This window comes from Homo sapiens, chromosome 6 (assembly GCF_000001405.40).
Source record: "Homo sapiens chromosome 6, GRCh38.p14 Primary Assembly".
In the NCBI taxonomy this organism is placed as follows: domain Eukaryota; kingdom Metazoa; phylum Chordata; class Mammalia; order Primates; family Hominidae; genus Homo; species Homo sapiens.
This window is the reverse complement of record NC_000006.12, coordinates 169,272,444-169,293,453: the sequence shown is the minus strand read 5'-3', so window position 1 is coordinate 169,293,453 and position 21,010 is coordinate 169,272,444. Positions and strand designations below refer to the sequence as shown.

The 21,010-nt window shown below is 43.7% G+C and overlaps 2 annotated features.

Annotated features, from left to right (window-relative positions):
- Window positions 564–764: a silencer, noted in NCBI's record as "peak6324 fragment used in MPRA reporter construct". NCBI's record gives its function as "represses an SCP1 promoter by STARR-seq MPRAs in K562 erythroleukemia cells {active_cell/tissue: K562}" and the evidence as "EXISTENCE:reporter gene assay evidence [ECO:0000049][PMID:32103011]".
- Window positions 8,189–8,690: an enhancer, noted in NCBI's record as "H3K4me1 hESC enhancer chr6:169684859-169685360 (GRCh37/hg19 assembly coordinates)". NCBI's record gives its function as "activates a minimal SCP1, AML or CMV promoter by ChIP-STARR-seq in primed H9 embryonic stem cells {active_cell/tissue: H9 hESC(primed)}" and the evidence as "EXISTENCE:reporter gene assay evidence [ECO:0000049][PMID:30033119]".

Sequence of the window (21,010 nt, the reverse complement as noted above, 5' to 3'; positions counted from 1 at the left end):
ATTCACACATTGGAGTATATCTGGGTGATTATGAAATATATCTGTACTGAGGAAATTTTTGTAGAATGTTTGAAATCGTGGAACTCTTCTGTTTTGTTTTCATGTAAGGAAACTTCACCTTAGAAATGGTGTTGACATCAGTGCAAAAATTATTTAAACTGTAAGAAATTCATGAGAGCAAAGAATATGTTTTGTTCTGGGATTTTGACTTCAATCCACCTAATTCTAATTATTATCCTGCAATAAAGGAATAAAATCATCTGATTTAGTCATATTTATACAATGTTCTTATTGGTAACTCCTTTGAAGGTTTTAATCATTTTTAGTAGTTGTTTGGTAATAAAGCCCCCCTTTTAAAGTTTAAATGTCAAACTTAGATGTCAGATGAGTAACGTAAAATGTTTGAGCACATACAATGGCCGTGTGTAATATCCGGAAGCATCTTATCAGACTTTTCTCAATGGACTTGTATCCTGAGAGGCTAAGGATGGTTTTAATTACTTGTTGAAGAACACAAGTCTATAAAATATTAAACTATGATGAAATGGAAAGAATATTTTGAGGCAGCTACAGACAAAACCCTGCCTGTCAAGAAGATGAAAGCCTGGAGATGAGTCACCTAGCAGAGGGAGATTGGATCATATTTCCTGAGTGAGGAGATCGCTTCCACAAGGCTGATTGCACAACCAGGATGGCCTCTTGCTGCAGGGTGCCGGGGGCTGGGGGTGAGCTCTGGGTCAACACCACTGAGGCAGAGTGGGCCTGTGAGATGTCCTGGTACAAAGGCCTCCGCTCTCCATGCTTCTGCAGGGCCCGCGCTCCCAGACGCAATCTCTGGGGCAAATACCTTGCTCCTGAGGATGGCATCTAAATCTAAAAATGTTGTGTAAATATGAATGAGCTCATGGGGTGCAATCCCTCTGATACACAATGTTTTCACAGCACAGGGTGATCACTGAAGCTGGAGTGTACTGAGAAGCGTGTTACTGATTTTTAGCTTTGCAGGGGATAAACGGTTTAAATGAGGAAGTGAAAGGCTATGAAAAGGAAAGAAGACTTTTCATCACCATCATGCAATGAATTCCTGCTTTAAATGCCTTGTCCCCACTCCAAGCACAGCAATGAGACCGACCACATGGGATAAAATGAGTGTCATAGGATAAAATGACACAAAGGTAAGCAGTCAGAGCGGGCTTTGCACTTCCACAATAAAACCTAAACACGGGGGAGGCGCCCCTGCCAGTGACAGGGGTGTCAGAGGCCCTGGGAGCCATGGCTTCTGCTGTCCCGGCCTCACACAAGGTCAGTGGTAAATCCAGAAGACAAAGTGTGGGCTCAGAAGACGAGAGGATGAGGGCGAGTCAGTACTGAAGGGACAGTGGTCATGTTCTCATGTTGATTAAACATTTTCAGCACTTTTTAAATCATATTCTTAGATGCCCTCAGCTAAACCTTTGCCCCCCACAGTCTGAATAAACTATTCCGCATGATTCTCACTGGGCCCGCCTTCAGGGAGTGCCCTAGCACAGGGCAGGGTTAATAATTCCTGGGACACAATTCCTGCCAGGGTCAGAAGTCACCAGCCCTGGTTTTATGAAAATGCAAGGTGGCCACAGTCTGAGAGGAATGTGGGCCCATAGCTGAGCCATGACGCTGAAGGACCAGTGCAGAGCCTGGCCAGGAGTGACATGCATGTTAGCAAAGAACCAGAAGTTCTTCCCAAAGTGGGAGCAAGAGGGTATCGTGATGTGATCATCTTCGTAATAGAAGGGCAGCATGCGGGGTTGGAAAGAGGGGTGGACGTTTGTTAGATAATGAGGAGGTAAGTTTAGAAAATTAAACGTAAACAAGACATTGAAGATGAACGGGTAAGCAGGGCAGCAATTAGGAAATGAATAGACTGATGGCCCAGTCCCTATATCAGACAAGGAAGGAAGCAGCTTGATGTATCATAGCAGGTGCCGAGGTTTGGAGAACGTAGGGTATTGTGAAGTGCAGAGAAGGGGCACTCAGTGGCTTGAATGTCTGTATTCCCATGAAATCCAGGTGTTGGAAGCCCCTCTTTCCAGGGGGATGGCATTAGGAGGTGGGACGTTCAGGAGGTGATGACGTCATGATGATGGAACCCAATGAACGGGATCAGTGCATTTATAAGAGTCCCAGAGAGCTCCTCTGCCCTTTCTGCCATGCGAGGATGCACACAGAGGTTACCATCTATGAACAAGGAAGCCGCCCAGACGCCGAGTCTACTGGCACCTTGATCTTGAAATTCCCAGCCAGCTTCCAGAACTGTGAGGAACACATTTTTGTTGTTTAGGAGCCACCCAATCTATGGTATTTTGTGATAGCAGCCAGAGGGATGAAGACAGGCACTTGTACCCATCTTTCGGAACAGGGAGGCGCTTCCTAGAGGAATTTGCAGTAAGCTGAGTCTTGAAGGCCAAGACAGTGGAAACCAGATGAGTGGGCCTGGGAGTGGGGAAGAGGCTCAAGGGGGAGGGAGCCGCACAGCACAGAAGAAAGACCAGAGAGGTTGCAGCTCAGCAAGTCAATTCATGCGCCGAGGACACAGGCACTCAAGTTGGTGGTGGCAGGTTGTAAAGATTCTTAAGCGTTCTTCTAAGAAAGCTCTTGTTCATCTGTTGGCCAATGAACAGCCACTCGAGGTTTAAAGAACCAAATAGACCAGATCTATGCTCAATGAAACCTGTTTTTGAATGATATGTATATTCTGGTAGTTGTGTGGTAGGGAAGAGAAACAGATGATTTACATAAATTCACTGAAACGAACTTGAAAGCAACCCAGATCATGGAGGGCTGGGATGAAAATCCCACACGAGCTGTGTGGCCTTCGGCAAGTTCCTCCAGTTCCCATCCTTCCCGCTCTTCCCTGCGACATGCCGATAGACAATAATGCTATGAAACAACTCCCGGCCCTCACAAGACTTTTTTTAAATTTAACTTTTGTTTTTTTAAGTTGAGGGGCACACGTGCAGGTTTGTTCTATCGGTACACTTGTGCCATGGGGGTTTGTTGTGCAGGTTATTTTGTCATCCAAGTGTTAAGCCGAGTACCCATTAGTCTCCTGGGCATCAGAGAAGGCTGGGGGTTGTTTTCAAGGAGTTATTTTCTATCAGGATGATGTGGCAGAACCCAGTAATGGTGCAAGCTCTGCTTGGTTTAGGGAAGGAAATAACTCATACAGAAATCTGTGGCTTGGAAAACGCAAGCCCAAGGGCCTGACCAGAAGGAATGAGGAGAGCTGGTTGGTGGAGGCGGTTTGGACAGGAGGTGGGCTAGCCAGGAATATGATACTTTGTACAGCAGAGCCTGGGATGCCGGAGGGAATTCAACCACGGGCTACTTATGCCGTCCAAGATTTCTCTTCCTTTGGAAGATAAACATGTTGGAACTGTGTTAAAGAGTCTTTTAAATCAAATATGTAATGAATAACAGCTCTGTTCTCGCTTTATCTCTGCAGAGCCTTGAGTCATGGGTATATCAGAACACCTGTGGATCAGAATGAAATGGCATGTGCTGTTGTAACTGGTTTTATGCATTCTGGATTCGTGTCCCTTCGCACCTGCTTACCCCCAGCGTTTACTCCACGTGTAATCACTTGCTCAATGACTCAGCCCTAAACAGCGGAAGAGAACGGCTTTGTCCATCTCAGTCCAGGGTGTGCTCAGCCCCTAGAACCGCGGGAGGCACATGCTTGGGCTGTGCTCTATGTGTAAGGTGGAGAAATCGCAGGCAAACCAATGCCTAGAGTCCCGGATCACGTACATGCTGATGACGCCAGGGACACTTTCAATAACATTGGGTTTCAGGGATAATCTGGAATTAGAATTTTTGTTGTACGTCATAAGATTAATTATTTATTGTGTCAAATTTTCCATCAGATTCCCCTCCTGGGGCTGAGGACTCTAGACACTCAGCAGGAAATAACTTTTCCTTTTTTCTGGAAAGATGGAACTGCAAATGGTTATAACATGACCTCACTCTCCTTTCCTCAGAACGTAGACCACACAGAGCAATGAGAAAATAAGACACTGTAGATGAGTCTCGTCCTCAAAGTCTGTTCAATTGGAGAGTGCGCTGACTTGCTTTCTGTGTTCTTTTATGAAGGAAGAGAGATTTACCTCTTTGCCTCGCATGAGGTTAAACATTGCAGCTGAGGGCCACCTTTGCATCTGCCCCAAATGCAATAGCGCAGTGTGGTTGGGTGACGCCCCACGAGAGGAAAATGATAGAAAATGTTCTGTCTTTGAAGCACTCCAGCCATTTGTTCCCACTGAGCTTGGCTCTGGCTTGTGGATAGATTCCACGGTACTCACATCCCTGTACTCAAACTGGTGACAAGCTCCGGGTCCCCAATTGCTTGGAAGCAGAGGCTCACCCAGCAGTGACCAGGAACAGGAGGGCCGAGGGGGTCAAGGGGCAGCTGCTGTCCCCGTCCTGGATGGAGATGAAAGGGAGAGCAAGACCTCCAGGCCACTGCCTCCAGGGGGCCTGGGACTCGTGTCCGCTCCACTTTGAAGAGTCAGAAGAAGGCCTAGGCAGGCAGGGGCGCTGTGTGGAATTCTGGCTGCTTCAAAGGCATCGTGAAATATTAATCTTTATCCCTTGACTTTCTGGAAAAGACGTGGCAAGTGGGTAGGACCGGCCCTGTGCCGAGGAGAGCAGTGACTCAGGGGAGGTTTCTCTTGGCACATCCTGTTCCTCACTCATCAGAGGCTTCTCCACACAGCCTCCTACTCCAGAGGGACGCAAGCTCTCCCTGCACAGGAGGGAGGGTGGCTGAGGACAGGGTCAGGGCCAGGGGTCTTTCCTGTCCCCACCTCGTCTCTCCAGTTCTGCCCGGCCTTCGTCCCCAGACTCCAGCTTCCTCTCTGCAGCAAAAGCCCCTGGAGCTCTAGCATTCCCGGCTTCTTCTTCCTCAGTCCCCAAATAATTCTAGTGGACTTAGTAGGCTGAATAACAGTCCCCAAGATACCTAGGTCCTAATCCCTGGAACCTGTGTCTGTTACTCTACGTGGCAAAAGAGACTTTTGTGATTAAGGATCTTGAGATGGGGAATTCTCCTGGGTTACACACATGGGGGCTAACACACGTGGGGGCTAAAAGCAGCCACGCGTGTCTTTATGAGAGGCAGGTGGAAGGATATTGACAGCACAGGGTGGGGAGCGGTCCCCACTGAGACTCAATGCTACCCTGCTGGACTGGGGGTGGAGAAAGGGGCTATGAGCCAAGGAGCCTGAGAAGTGGGAAGGGGTGAGGAAGCAGATGCCTCCATGGAGCCCCTGGAGGGAGGACTTGCTTCCATGGAGTCTCTGGAGGGAGCATTTGTCCCCAGAGGGCCTCCGAAGCCCCTACGGAGCCTCAGGAGGGAGCACTTGCCCGCATGGAGACTCTGGAGGTAGCCCTTCCTTCCATGGAGTCTCTGGAGGGAGCGTTTGTCCCCAGGGAGCCTCTGAAGGAATCACTTACCCCCACGGAGACTCTGGAGGGAGCACTTGTCCCCATGGAGCCTCTGGAGGGAGCACTTCCCCCTTGGAGCCTCTGGAGGGAGCACTTGCCCCCCATGGAGCCTCTGGAGGGAGCACTTGCCCCCACGGAGACTCTGGAGGGAGCACTTGCCCCCACGGAGACTCTGGAGGGAACACTTGCCCCCACGGAGACTCTGGAGGGAACACTTGCCCCCAGGAGACTCTGGAGGGAGCATTTGGAGTTGAGAAACAGATCTTAGACTTTTGACTTCCAGAACTATAAGATATAAGTGTGTTAAGGCCAACACATTTGGGTCATTTGTCACAGCAGCCATGGAAAATTAACACCATGGACAAATGTCTACCAGGAATGCAGTTTACAGTTCTCAGCCTCCTTTGCAGGGACTTAGGGCTTTGTATATGTTGTGTCTTTTTCCCAAAATGCTTGGGACCAGAAATGTCTCAGGTTTGGGATTTGTTTGGAATTTGGAATATTTACATTATACTACCAGTTGAGCATCCCAAATCAGAAAGTCCAAAATCTGAAATACTCCAATGAGCATTGCCTTTGAGAGTCATGTTGGTGCTCAGGTTTTAGATTTTGGAGCATTTTGAATGTGAAATTTTCTGATTAGGGATACTCACCCTGTACTAGATCTGATCAAAGAGATATACGTGGAAATACAATATCAACTTCTGGGATGCATTCTTAAAGAAAGCGGTCTGCCCTCTCCCCTCTGCTGTCCCTCCTGCAGGGTGGAATGCCGGCATGTTCTTGGAGCACGAGGCAGACTTGGGAACTGAGTCAACACATGGCGTATCACTGAGACAGAGCAGCCCCAGAACACACACCGGGGAGTACAGGAGCCTAGGCCACGTACCCAACATTGCAGGCAGAGAAAAAAGAAAGTGTATTCCATGTAAGCAAATGTTATTTGGACCTTTCTCTCTGTCTGACCTAATCATGGCTCACAGAAAGTAATCATACTCCTAATAATACATCAACTTATCTGATTTATCCACACAATCACGTAGATTAATGTATGCTTCTATTTCCTGGTCGCTTTAGCATAATATTGATCATAAATTGATAAATAGGAATAAAACAATATAATTAGATTAATTTACAATACGGTATAGTTGACTAATAACATTTTCACGATTTACATACTAAGAATAAATACATTTTTAATCAAATGTCTCCCCTAGGTGGTGCATTCCAGGCCTTAGAATAAAATTAAAAGGGAAATCAATGAAGACACATCCACTGTTCACACTCTCATCTTCAATGTTTGACCAGTGGCTGAACTGTTTGGAGTTGCAGATTGATATTTCTCTTTTATAGTTTTAGGTGCTTGTAATTGCTCTTTAATGCTCATGTTTACTCTTATTCTGTGTGTCTTTAACTCATAAAGACAGTTTTCCATGAGAAATGTGTCTGGGCCTCCTCATCTTCTCTGTGCCTCATTTTATGGGAACATCCTGAAGGGACTGCCCTCACCTGTCAGATGAAACCTTCCAATGTGATCTTCAGAGCTGCTTTTTCTCTTAATGGAACTCCAGGCGAACATCTTAAAATATAATAGCAGTGAGGTTCATAAAGTGTAAGCATCATTGACTCCTGTGTTCCCTCTGTTTATGAAACAATAGCTTTCAATAGCTTTTGTAAGTTGGTTTCCAAATATATTTTCTCTGAGGCTGATAGAGGCAACTTTATTTATTTATTTTTGGTTTTGTTGCATTTGCTTTTGAGATCTTAGTCATAAATCCTTTGGCAGACCAATGTTTAAAAGAGTTTTTTTCTAAGTTTCGTTATACAATTTTTATGGCTTCAGATCTTAGATTTAAGTCTTTAATTCATCTGGAGTTAATTTTTGTATATGGCCTGAGATAGGGATCCAGTTTTAGTTTTCGAAATGGGGCTACCCAGTTTTCCAAGCACCATTTATTGAATAGGGTGTCCTTTTTCCAATTTATGTTTTTCTATTCTTTATCAAAGATCAGTTGGTTGTATTTGGCTTTATTTCTGGGCTCTTTATTCTGTTCCATGGGCTATGTATTTACTTTTATAACAATACCATGCTGCTTTAGTTATTATAGCCTTGTAGTATAATTTGAAGTTGGGTAATGTGTTGCTTCTAGATTTCTTCCAATTATCTAGTGGATACTTTGTACACTATTTGGGTGATGGGTACACTACAAGCCCAGACTTCACCACCACGCAATTAATCCATGGAACCAGAAACCACTTGTACTCCTAAAGCTATTGAAATTTAAAAAAAATTCTCATACTCTTTGGTCCAGTATCCTATGACAAAACTGTCATAAGTGTGAAATGACACAAAAATAGGGATAATCATCACAGTATGGTGTATGCCACCAAAAGCCTGGAAACATCCAAAGGCCCATCAGTGGGGTCACTGGTTGAACAGAAGTTTGCAATCACTGCAAATAATGCACGATGCTTTCTGTACAGATATGGGGGGGTCTCCAGGATACACAGCTGTGACAGACACTGCCCTTGTCCTGCTCAGACCCTGAGCTCCTCAGACTCCTCCCCCATGTCTGGTGCACTGCTGGTCAGCTCACTCTGCTTCTGCCCTCACAGCCAGCACCTGCTGCTCTAGAAGAGGCTCCTGTTGGGACTCTGGAGCTGGCAGTGCAGGAGAGCACTGGCAGGGGCCCTGAGCTGGCACTGATCAATCAGTGTGAGCTGTGAAAACCCTGCCCCTTGCCTCAAGTGAGGGACACGCTCAGAGGTGCCACTCGTGTCCAGGATTCCTCTGCAGAATCAGAGCCAGGCACGGTCAGCTCAGGGGCTGCAGCGTGTGTGTGGTCACAGTCAGCACCACAAAAGCCCTTTTCAGTTTCAGGCCCTGCCTTCACTGCCTCAGTGATTCTTCAGCAGGGGAAATTTCTGTTTTGCATCGAGCTTTGCAAATTATATAGCCTATCTTGCCGCTGTAGGACTTCACCTGGAATTACAGCCTTGCATGGCGTTCCTGCTTTCCTGTCCTGTCTCTCCCATTCCTCTCTGTATTTTGGAGGGAGCACAATTTTTCTTTTTTTTTTGAGACAGAGTCTTGCTGTGTCACCCAGGCTGGAGGGCTCCAGCTCACTGCAGCCTTGACCTCCCAGGTTCAAGCGATTCTTCCACCTCAGCCTCCCAAGTAGCTAGGAACACAGGTGCACACCACCATGCCCTGCTAATTTTGTGTGTGTGTGTGTGTGTGTGTGTGTGTGTGTGTGTGTGTGTGTGTGTAGACAGGGTCTCGCTATGTTCCCAGGCTGGTCTTGAACTCCTGGGCTCATGCAATCCTCCTTCCTCGGCCTCACCAAGTGCTGGGATTACAGGTGCGACCCACCAGGCCTGGTCCAAGTGCCATCATAATACATCAATTATGCATTAGCACTTATTGAGTTTAGGTCAGGGAAACCTAACCTGACATGATTGTTAAGTGAAAAGGTCCATTGCAAAAAATTGTCTACAGTGTGCTACTATTTATGGGAATGTGTGTGTGCATGCATTTGTGTGCTTAGGTGTGTATGTGTATATGTATTTGTGTGTCCATGTGTTTGTTTGCATGTGTGCTTGTGTTAAGTGTGTTTGTGCATTTATGTGTGTGTGTATGTGCATGTTTATATGTGCATCCACATGTATGTTTGTGTGTTTTTATTTGGCTATGTGTGTGCCTGTGTAGGTGTGTGATTGTATGTGTGTGTCTGTGTTTGTGTATGTGTGTGTATGTGTGTTTTTGTGTGGTTATGTGTGTTTGTGTATGTATGTATATATGAGTATGTTTGTGTATGTGCATTTATGTGTGTGTGTGTTGTATGTGTGTGCATTTGTGTGTTCATGTGTTTGTGTTTGTGTATGTGCTTGTGTTGTGTATGTGTGCGTGTGTGTGCTTGTGTATGTTTGTGTTTGTATATGTATGTGTGTGTTTGTGTGTTTGTATGTGTGTATGTTTGTGTGTGTGTGTGTGGGTTTTTTGTGTATGTGTTTGTGTGTTTGTATGTGTGTATGTTTGTGTATGTGTGTGTGTGGTTTTGTGTGTGTGTGTGTGTGTGTGTGTGTGTGTGTGTGTATGTGCATCACCTCTGAGAGGATGCATACCAGACACTGGCAGTAGCGGTTGCTTCCTGGAGAAAGAAAGTGTGACAATGAGAAACTTACATTCAGGAGTGCTTATTGGGAGAGAGGCTTCCCTTCTTACCTTCTTACATTTCACAGACATAGCTTTTGGATTTGCTTTTAATTTCTTACCATGTGTACGTATTACACATCTGAAAAAACCCAAAGATATTAACACAGAGAAGCAAACCCCAGAACCCATGGGTGACATGGTTAAGGCTCAGCTCCTCTGCGTACAACGTCCTTCGATGCCTGTCTTGCTGCCACAGCCTCATCTCCTCATGCCCTCCCATTCACCTGTGTCCTGGGGACACCTGCGCATCCTGTTGCCTGGATGTGCCATGCACACCTGTCTGTCTGTCCCTGGTTCATGCGTTTTTCTCCTCCCATCGTGTCGCCTGTGGAGGACATCACCACCTTTAAGGGTTATTTCCAGTTGTGAAGTCTTTGAAGCCAGGCTGGCCTCCTGCCACAAAGACTTTGTTTCTCTACTTTTTCTAATTCTTAGTAATATTCCTACACTCCTGTAGTACAAGATGTTTTTAGTATTATATTTAAAATATAAATTAAAATATGCATATTTTTAACTTCTAACAGCATATTATGCACATAGTAGACAGTAATTAGTTAATGAATCTAACAGGTTTTTATCTTCAGGGAGTTGCACATGTAAACAAGAGATAGAGAACCTCTAGACTTAAGTGGTAGATATGGAAATTGTCTTCCATGAAGCTGGCGGTCAGGATGTTCTGTCCCTGGTGTGTCGAATGCTGCAGGCAGGGGCACTGTCTCCTGCCCATTCCCGATGAAGGCGGCTGCCACAGGACTTACCTTTACAGAGGAAGCTGGGAACATCACACAAAGATGTCAATGACTAAGATAGCATAGTTGTACTAAATTACACTGAACTATTTTCTGTATTTTCTTAGCAATTGTATTATTTTTAGTAAAAAAAACACATTCTCTTCCCAAGGAACTATGTCAGTAAGTTAACTCTTATTTGGGGAAAATTAGTTCATAATAAACTTAATGTAAACAGTTTTTGGTCAATGTTGACTATTAAAATTATTTTTGAAATATGGTGAGAATTATGTATAGCAATATGCATAGCAGAGCAAACGGAAGGAATATTTGAAAATGCGAACAGAGGTGATCTCTGGATGGAGGGGCCGCCAATTATTGATTAATATTTTAATTCTTTCTTCTATTTTCCAAGTTTTCTATCACAACCAGAATGTAAATAATTGAGACACTGTTCAAGGGTTCGCGTGCAGTAGCCCTAATCTTCTTCAGAAGAATGGCTGGGTAGCTCAGGAGGTTTTGAACATCAAGGTGTCTTTCGCCATTTAGTCAGTTATGCTGGGAACGCTGCTGAAGCCTTAATGATCAACACGTCTGCTGGTCTCCATCATTTGATACAGGATTCAGATCAACATGCTTCCTATTTTTGCCCAGCATCTGTATAGAGAAGCTACGTGTGGCGTGGAGACAGAGTGGGAGCCCTCCCAGTTCGTGCGTCAGGTGGTCAAGTGCCCTGTTCTTCCCACCACACTGATTGCCGCGCGGCTTTGGACACGTCCGTGAAGATGGAGGGATGTGCTTCCCTGCACCGGGGATGCTGGGCTTGGCCCGGAGACTTGCTTGGTCTCAGAGTGTGAGCAGAAATGACAGTGGTTGGTTTGGGGCGAGGTCTCGGGGGTATGGCTGGTTCTCGCTCATTCCCTTGTGCCTTGGTGACAAGCCTGGTAGGTGCAGGTCTAAGGGGAATGAGGAAGTAAGAGACAGACCTGAACACACCCTGCTTCCTGGAGCCCATCCTGACAGTCCCCGCTGAGCTGGCCTGCAGACCCCAAGAGAGGGTGGGTGTCCATGGTCACAGGCCATACGATTTTGAAGTTGAGCGGTAATCCAATCCTAAGTACGCCACTCTGCCAAAAACAGTGACTATTTAACCAATCTTGTTCTTTTCAAAAGACCATTTTGGTACCAAGCTTGTCATTTGAAGAGTTCCCCTGGGTTTTATGGCAAACTCCAAGAAGTTTATCAAAGAAATCCTTTCGAACATCCAGTATTCTACTTTCTATGTTACTGTGCATTTCTGGGAATATTTTGACACTTCCCATGAATGAAATCTCCAGGCAAGCATCTGGCCAGCTCCCCTGCACTCATCTCTGGAGAACGGATGGTTTGTAGATACTGCTCAGGTCATACATTCACGCACAGGAGTCATCCTGCAGAGAGAACATCACGCAATGACAAGAACAGCTACAAATGCATCTGCCATGTCTCATGGAACATCTTGGAAAGAAATCACTAGCACCACTTTTCCCAAAGAATGTCTATTAATATCTCAAAAACATAGTTTCATGACACCTACATCCCAATCACAGGACTATGAGTAACAATCCTACCCTGTTGTAATACTTTTTTAGTAAAGTTGAATAGGAATTTTAGGAGACAATGCAATTTATTTGACAGGATTTATAAAATTCATGTTTTCCAAGGAAATCATAAATCATAGCTGTGTTAGCGTCCCATTTCTTTAGACAGCAAGCTGGTGCATGAAGTAGGAGGAGCCAGGCAGACAGTGCCAACTGAGTGGCAATGTTGGTTCAAACCTCACAAGTCATCACTAACATAATTACATTGAGTACTCTTTTAATGAAGAAATAAAGATTACAGTCTATATTAGTTCCACAAATTTTTCTGATGTTATTTACTTCTTACATTTTTGTTTAAGTGGTATATAGTCAATATCATCTAGATTATCTATTGGTCAACACAAAAATGCAGTGCATACATGCTACTACTCGGAGAAAAGCCACTGAACATGGATCAACAGCTGCTTCTAACCTTCCGAAGACACCAAGGAAGAAGCTATTGATGGTGCTGCGTAGGGCGGAAGGAAGTACTGGGGTTCGTTCTTTTCACTCCTCCCTGGTAGATGTTATTGTAAGATGCTGAATAAAGACATGGACTTCAGCATGAAAGCTGTGACATGTAATAGTGCAACTCTATACCTCAGAGAAGTCTAGCACGAGCAGGAAAATGGATCATCTGCCATTGGTTTTGTCTTAACGCTGAGAAAATGGTGGCACCCGAGTTTGAGGTTTATGTAATTAGGCAGTGATGTGCCTGGGACTCCTAATCTAATGGACTTCTCCCCATCTCCGGACCTGCATCTACAGGCCTAAATGTTTGACATTTGGTGGCATTGTGGCCTAAGCCAAGTGGACCCTTAGTAAGTATATCTCCAAGGGAATGAGATATGTTCTATGTCTGGAGGAGTGGACTGGGGTGGTTTGCTAAGGTTACAAGGAAATATTAAACTACTATTAGAAAGCTTCGTTCAGCCAATAAATAAAATTCATGCAACCAATATAAAACTAATGTTTTCCCCAGAGAATTGAAACTAAGTTCTAATCTGGGTGATGAATCATGATTAGCGAGTGAGGATACAAACATATACAAATCCAGTCCTTGCTATTCATTCAGTTACCCACACAACACTGGGTTCCTTTTTCCTTGCAAGGTTTGAAGAACAACATTGGGTAAAGCATTTAAAAATTAGAGAAGGCTTTAAAAGGAATGTGTATGTCTGGCCCTGTGCATCAGGTAATGATGGTGGTAATGGTCACGAATGTTTATCAGGGATTACTGAATGCAACATTTAGAACTTAACACTGTCTGCCGGGCGCGGTGGCTCACTCCTGTAGTCCTAGCACTTTGGGAGGCCAAGGCGGGTGGATCATGAGGTCAGGAGATCGAGACCATCCTGGATAACACAGTGAAACCTCGTCTCTACTAAAAATACAAAAAATAAGCGGGGCTTGGTGATGGGCGCCTGTAGTCCCAGCTACTCGGGAGGCTGAGGCAGGAGAATGACGTGAACCCGGGAGGCGGAGCTTGCAGTGAGTCGAGATTGCGCCACTGCACTCCAGCCTGGGCGACAGAGCGAGACTCCGTCTCAAAAAAAAAAAAAAAAAAAAAAAAAAAAGAACTTACACTGTGTCCTTGATCTTCAGAAAGATCTAACAAGATAAATGCTATAATTATCTCTATTTTGCAGAAGGGGAAGGAAAAACATTGAGAGGTTAAAATTTTACCCAAGATCGTCAACGTGAGCCTGAATCCAGGTCTCCCACCTTTGTGCCATCACCAGGCAAAATTTTAACAGCTGGCCATGGAGAAAAGACAGTGCATATTCAAGACGGTAAATGTCCTCAAAACCCTGCAATTTTATTTTCTCCTCCGTTTATTGAATGCTTAACTTTATGCATTCTTAACTTTATGCGGATTGGGTTGCTATAATTTGAGGGATACTTGTGCTCTGTTTAAAGCTAAGAAAATATGTGTGGACATCTAAAATTCTCTTACAACTGAGACTGACAGCTTCACTCTTCCTCAATAGACCAATTTTGTTTTCCTGTTGGAAGCTAAGTGTCTTGGACAGGTTTGCCATTGATCACAAGTCTTCTGACAATTATGTTGAACTAAATCTTTTAGTGTACTATATAATAATTTTAAGCTGGAAATATTAATGATTTTCAAATGAGAATTGAGAATAATAAAAGGAAACCAGTATAAGCCACAATATTAAAAAACATATCTACAGAAAATGAACGGAAACTCTAGGGAAATTGTGCATCCTATAAAATCCTCATGTTACAGATTTATATCTACTTTATCCTGTAGTTACATAGAAAAGGACTTGTTTAAGAGCATAGAAAGTGTGCTTGCTTTTACAAATGCTGCTTGGTACATTCAATAATCATTCTGCCATCAACTCTAGGAAACAGAGAACGAATCACTTTTCTTTCACTTATTAACACCAATGTTAAAAAAAAGAAATTTAAACATCAAAAATTAAAAATACTCTTCCACACTCATCTCAAATTTTGTACATAGTAATTTATTTACTGGTTTCCTACTTATTTATTTTGCTCATACGAAACAATAACAGGTGTGGTGGCTCACGCCTGTAATTCCAGCACTTTGGGAGGCCGAGGTGGGCGGATCACCTGAGGTCAGGAGTTCAAGACCAGCCTGGTCAACATGGTGAAACCCTGTCTATACTAAAAATACAAAAACTTAGCTGGGTGTGGTGGTGCACACCTGTAATCCCAGCTACTCGGGAGGCTGAGGCAGGAGACTCACTTGAACCCAGGAGGCAGAGGTTGTTTTGAGCTGAGATTGTGCCACTGCACTCCAGCCTGGGTGACAGAGTGAGACTCAGTCTCAAAACAAAACAAAATAAAACAATAACAGAACCTGTACTGTGTTAACAGGAAAACTTAAGACAAACTAAGTCTAACAGTTTAATTGAGCAAAGGACAATTCATGAATCCGGCAGCCCTTAGAACCAGAATCAGCTGAGAGTGACTCTGGGGCTGCCACATGATTGGCCATGTGTGGACAGAAAAAGGAAAGTAATGTACACAAAACAGAAGTGAGGTGCAGAAACACTGGGTTCAATACAGCTTGGTTTTGCCTTATTTGAACATGGTTTGAACAGTTCGTCTCTGGTGATTGGCACAAGAGTAGGTTAAAGTCTGTTTACACATCCAGTTAGGATGCAGTTCACTATGCACAGAGAAACCTTTAGGCTGAAATTAAAACATGTAAAGAGGCAGCTTTAGGCTAAACTTAATAATTTCTCCACTTTTAGTCCACCTCTCAGTTTTGAGAGGTAGATCAAAACTTTAGTCATTGACATCACCCTGTCACCACGGTAAATAGACGTAGTGGTCTCGAATCCCTCTGGGAAATAGCAGAACAGTGGGTTTTGTAAGGAGGGAACAAGGAAACAATAAAGGAGGAAAAAACTAGTTACCTCAGGTGGCTTCTCTGTAAAGGTTAGAGCAGAGGGACCTCCTTGGTGTGCTGGAATCTCCTGTTTTCTGGAGAAAAATTAAACTGGTCTGTTTTAGGATCTGTCTACTTCTTTAAAGTTTCAGCTTAATTATGTTGCATTTCACATGCATGACTTCATTTTGGTTTGGTCTGATCTACTGGGACCTAGTGCATGAGCTCAGTCCAAAACAATGGCCTCCCATAATTTTGCTTAAAAATCCTCCCCTTTTGGTCAGGTTTTCACTGAAATGAGAGTGTGACCAAAACTTAGGGCCTTAGCACCACTCTCAGTTACCATCATTTTGGGTTTCCATCCAGCACTGTCATTCATAGGTTATGGTGCCCTCAAGGTCACACATTTCTGTGACCTATGATGCAGGTTAACAGGAGTGGATAGATGCTCTTCTTCTGACATTATGGAGCAACAAAGCTACCATTAAAATTCCTTACCCACATTGGCCCTTCATATTTCATCAGTCAAGGCATAAAGTTTCCAATGTATGTGGTTGGCTGCGAAATCCTCCACAAATAAAAGTATAAGCATGAGTGTACATAAGACCCATTTTTCAATTTTATTATTCAGAGAGACATAAGCAAAGAAAAAATTAAAAGAGGTAGCATCTCATCATGGCAGAGGAATCTTGATAAAAGATCCTGGGAAGGCTGTCCATATCTAGGATGCTGTTTACTTCTGGGGAGAAACTTCCCTGGTTAGTTTTAGTTTAAGGAATCCAATAAGTATATAGTTCCAAGAGTCTGGAGTGGCCCTTCTCAGCTGTGAGATAATGAACCCAAAATTTGAGGTTCCCAAGGTTTTGTGGCAGTGTAAGTGGCAAGGGCAGTCTTTCTTTGATGTCATTTCCAGAAGATCCAGTCTGCAGGTTCTAGATTTTGAATTGTTTGTCCTCAGTCAGGGAACCATGAACGACTTCCTATACCTGGTGGAAATACACTTTAGCATAATGCATTAAAGCCTCATATCCTTTAGCCATATGAGAGTTTTAAGCAGAAGATAAATGAGGTTCCATTAGTGGGGCAGAATCCTTTCAGTGACTGTTTCATAAGGGGTCAATGTATGTCTTCCACTGGAAGAGATTTGATTGTCATCAACCTGCACTCCCTTTGATCAAGGCAATCCAGCCTATTCATTTAGCTTTGCCTAATCTAGTTTATCAGTGATATCTTAATTGTTTTACAACTTGTCCAGTGAAATTAGTACCTCCATCACTGGAGATTTCTCCTGGAATGCCCCACAAAGGAAACACATTTCCTAATAACCTTTTAGCTACTGTGATAGCAGCAGCCTTCTGACATGGGGAAGCTTCTAAACAACCAGAAAACATATATTTAAAATGAATTTTGAATAAAATCCCTCTATAAATGTTTAAATGGCCTAACAGGTTGCAGAAATGTCCCTGAAGTTTTCACTGGATTTCCAGGATTATGGGTTTGACAAACCAGACATTGGTCACAACTACTTCAGCAACTAAGAACAGTCACCACCCACCAATATATCTATAGCTACATCGATGCAGATATATGTAATTTGGATTAGTTCATCTTTTCCATGATGAGTCATGGAGTGCAGAGCTTTTAATAATGGAAAGTTTAAAAACTCAGCAAGGACTGGGTAGCGGCCCAGGCTCTCCATTAGTCTATGCTTAACATTGAATTTATGTCCTCTTAAAGACAAATTTTGTTTCTCCAATTTAGGTGCTGTATTAGGCCTTGTTGCATTGCTATAAAGAAATGCCTGGGACTGGGTAATTTTTTTATAAAAGAGGTTCAATGGCTCACAGTTCTGCAGGCAGTACAGGAAGCATAGTGCCAGCATCTTATTCTGGGGAGGCCTCAGGAAGCTTACAGTCATGGCTGAAGGCAAGTGGGGGACAGGTGGTGGGAGAAGACCAGGAGGAGGGCGGTGTGCTACACACCTTTAAATGACCAGATCTCATGAGAACTCACTTGTTACGATGTGAACAGTACCATGACATGAGGGTCCACTCCCATGACCCAAATGCGTCCCACAGGGTCCCACCTCCAACATTGGGGATTACATTTCAACATGTGACTTCGGTGGGGACAAATATTCAAACTATATTATTCTGCCTCTGGGGCCCCTAAATCTTATGTCCTTCTCACATTGCAAAATAAAATCATGCCCTGCTAATAGTCCATTAAAGTCTTAACGTATTACAGCATTAATTCAAAAGTCTTAAGTCCCAAGTTCTAGTCCAAAGTCTCATCCAGAGATGAATCCCTTCCACCTATGAATGTGTAAAGTTAAACAAGTTATTTACTCTCAAGATACACAGGGGGTATAGACATTAACAAACATTCCCATTCCAAAATGGATAAATCAGCCAAAAAAGAGGGGCTACAGGCCCCATGCATGTTCTGAAACCCAGCAGGGCAGTCATTAAATCTTAAAGCTCCAAATTAATCTCCTTTGACTCCATGTCTCACATCCAGGGCATATTGGTGCAAGGAATGGGCTCCCAAGGCCATGGAAACCTCTGTCCCTTTGGCTTTGTATGGTTCGGCCCCTGCAGCTTCTCTCACAGCTTGTTGAGTGTCTGTGGCTTTTCCATGCACAGGATGCAAGTTGCTGGTGGATCTACCTTTCTGGGGTCTAGAGGGCAGTGGCCCCTCTTCCACAGCTCCACTAGTCAGTGCCCCAGTGAGGATTCTGTGTGGGGGCTCCAACCCCACATATCCCCTCTGCACTCCCCTAGGGGGGGTTCTCTGTGAAGCTCTGCCCCTGCAGCAGTCTTCTTCCTGGACACCCATGCTTTTATATACATCCTTTGAAATCTAGGCTGAGAATGCCAAGCCTGATTTACTCTTGCACTCTGTGCACTCACATGCTGAACACCACGTGGAAGCTTCCAAGGCTTAGAGCTTGTTCCATCTGAAGATGAGAACTGAGCTGTATCTGGGCCCCTTTAAGCTGAGGCTGGAGCTGGAGTGGCTGGGATATGAGGAGCAGCTTCCTGTGCTGATGCATGGCAGTGGTTTCCTGGGCCTGGACCTTGAAACCAATCAGTCATCCTAGTTCTCAGGGCCTGTGATAGGAGGGGCTGCCTGAGAGATCTCTAAAATGTCACAGAGGCCTTTACTCCATTGTCTTGGCTCCTTTTTAGTTATGCAAATATATCTAGCAAGTGGTTGCCCCATAGCTTGCTTGAATTCCTCTCTTAATGAAGCTTTTTTTTTTCTCTGACACATGATCAGGCTACAAATTTTCCAAATATTTATACTCTGCTTCCATTTTATTTTTGTTTTTATTTATTTATTATTTTTTTTTGAGACAGAGTCTTGCTCTGTCGCCCAGGCTGGAGTGCAGTGGCATGATCTCGGCTCACTGCAAGCTCCTCCTCTCAGGTTCATGCCATTCTCCTGCCTCAGCTTCCTGAGCAGCTGGGACTACAGGTGCCTGCCACCAAGCCCAGCTAATTTTTTTGTATTTTTAGTAGAGACAGGGTTTCACCATGCTAGCCAGGATAGTTTTGATCTCCTGACCTCATGATCCACCAGCCTCGGCCTCCCAAAGTGCTGGGATTACAGGCATGAGCCACCGCACCTGGCTGCTCTGCTTCCATTTTAAATGTAAGTTTCAGCTTCAGGTCATTTCTTTGTTTCTGCATAGGCGTAGGCTGTAGAAGGCATAGCCTGTTCTGAGTGTAGGCTATTAGAAGCAGTCAGGCCATATCTTGAATGCTTTGCTGCTTAGAAATTTCCTCCACCAGATACCCTAGGTCATCACTCTCAAGTTCAAACTTCCACAGATCCTTGAGCATGAACAGAATGTAGCCAGGTTCTTTGCTAGAGAATAACAAGGGTGATCCCTGCTCTAGTTCACAATACGTTCCTCATTTCCATCTGAGGCCTTGTCAGACTGGCCTTCATTGTCCATATCACTGTCAGCATTTTGATCACAACAATTTAGCCAGTCTCTAAGAAATTTCTGTCTGTCATCTTCCTGTCTCCTTCTGAGCACTCCAAACTCTTCCAATTTCTTCCAGTTCCAAAGCTCCTTCCACGTTTTCAGGTATCTTTATAAGCAACGCCCCACTCCTCAGCACCAATTTTCTGTGTTAGGCACTTCTTGCATTGCTAAAGAAATATGTGAGACTGGGTGATTTATAAGAAAAGAAGTTTAATTGGCTCATGGTTCTTCAGGCTGTATAGGAAGTATAACACCAGCATCTGCTTCTGGGGTGGCCTCAGAAAGTTTACCATCATGGTAGAAGGCTTTGGGGGAGCAGGGGTTTCACATGGTGGGAGCAGGAGCAAGGGGTGGGGGAGGTGCTACACACTTAAATGACCAGATCTCGTGAGACTCACTATGGTGAGGACAGCACCAAGCCATGAAGGATCTGCCCCCGTGACCCAAACACCTCCCACAAGGCCCCACCTCCAACACTGGCAATTAGATTTCAACATGAGATTTGGGCAGGGACAAATATACAAACTGTATCAGGTGCATAGCACTGTTTATTAAATGAGTTGTCTTAGGTAATTCGACTTGGACCATGGAACTCATTCAAATTGCATATCTTAACAATTTCAGTACTGGCTGATTTAGCATAAAAATCTAGCAAACTATTTCCTTGGTATTTAATTACTTTTTGTCCTGCTTGGGTTAACAGTTTTATAAACCAGTGACTCTCTTCACTAGAGTTCTGGGAATTAGAAATTCTTACTCAGTCTAAGCAATATGATTCTAAAGTAAGTGATCAGAAACTTGTATTCAAGAGTGCTTGTTAACATCCTTTCCATCCTTTCCATGAATCCCTTTGAATCTTACTTGCTTCTAAAGACCTTTCAGAAAATGCCTTGGAATTAAGCAATCAACTGTGAACAAGACTTAATATGGTCATGGTCAAAAATGCAGTTGACAGGAAAATCTGGTTATTTCTGTGGCCTGTAATAATTTAACATAATAACCATAATTGTGACTAATAATATCTATACAACATATCAGAATTTTAGGAATCTCCTATAATTTGGAACACATATTAAAAACATATCCATAAAAAATATAATTTTTTGTGTGTATTGATCTGGTGTCCTAAAACCTTGCTAAACTCATTATTTTCAGTAGGCTTTTTTGGATAGGTTATTAGATTTTCTACATGGATGATCATGTTGTCTTCAAATAAAGGGACAGTTTTACTTCTACCTTTCCAGCCTGGATATTCTTTATTTCTTGCCTGTTTCACTGGCTAAAACTTCCAGCATGATATTGAATAGAACTGATAGGAGCAGACATTTATGTATTGTTCTGCACTTAGAATTCAGACTTTTATTACTAAATATTATATTAGATATAAGATTTTTATAGGTTCCCCTTTTCATGTTGAGAAAGTTCCCTATATTTTTGGTTTCTCTCTTGCATTCGTTTCTTTCTACCTGATAGACTTTCTTTGAGTGCAAGTCTGCTGGTGTTGAATCCTTTCCACTTTTGCATGTCTGAAAATGTCTATGATTTACTTTTGTTTTTGAAAAATATTTTTGCTGGGTGTAGAAT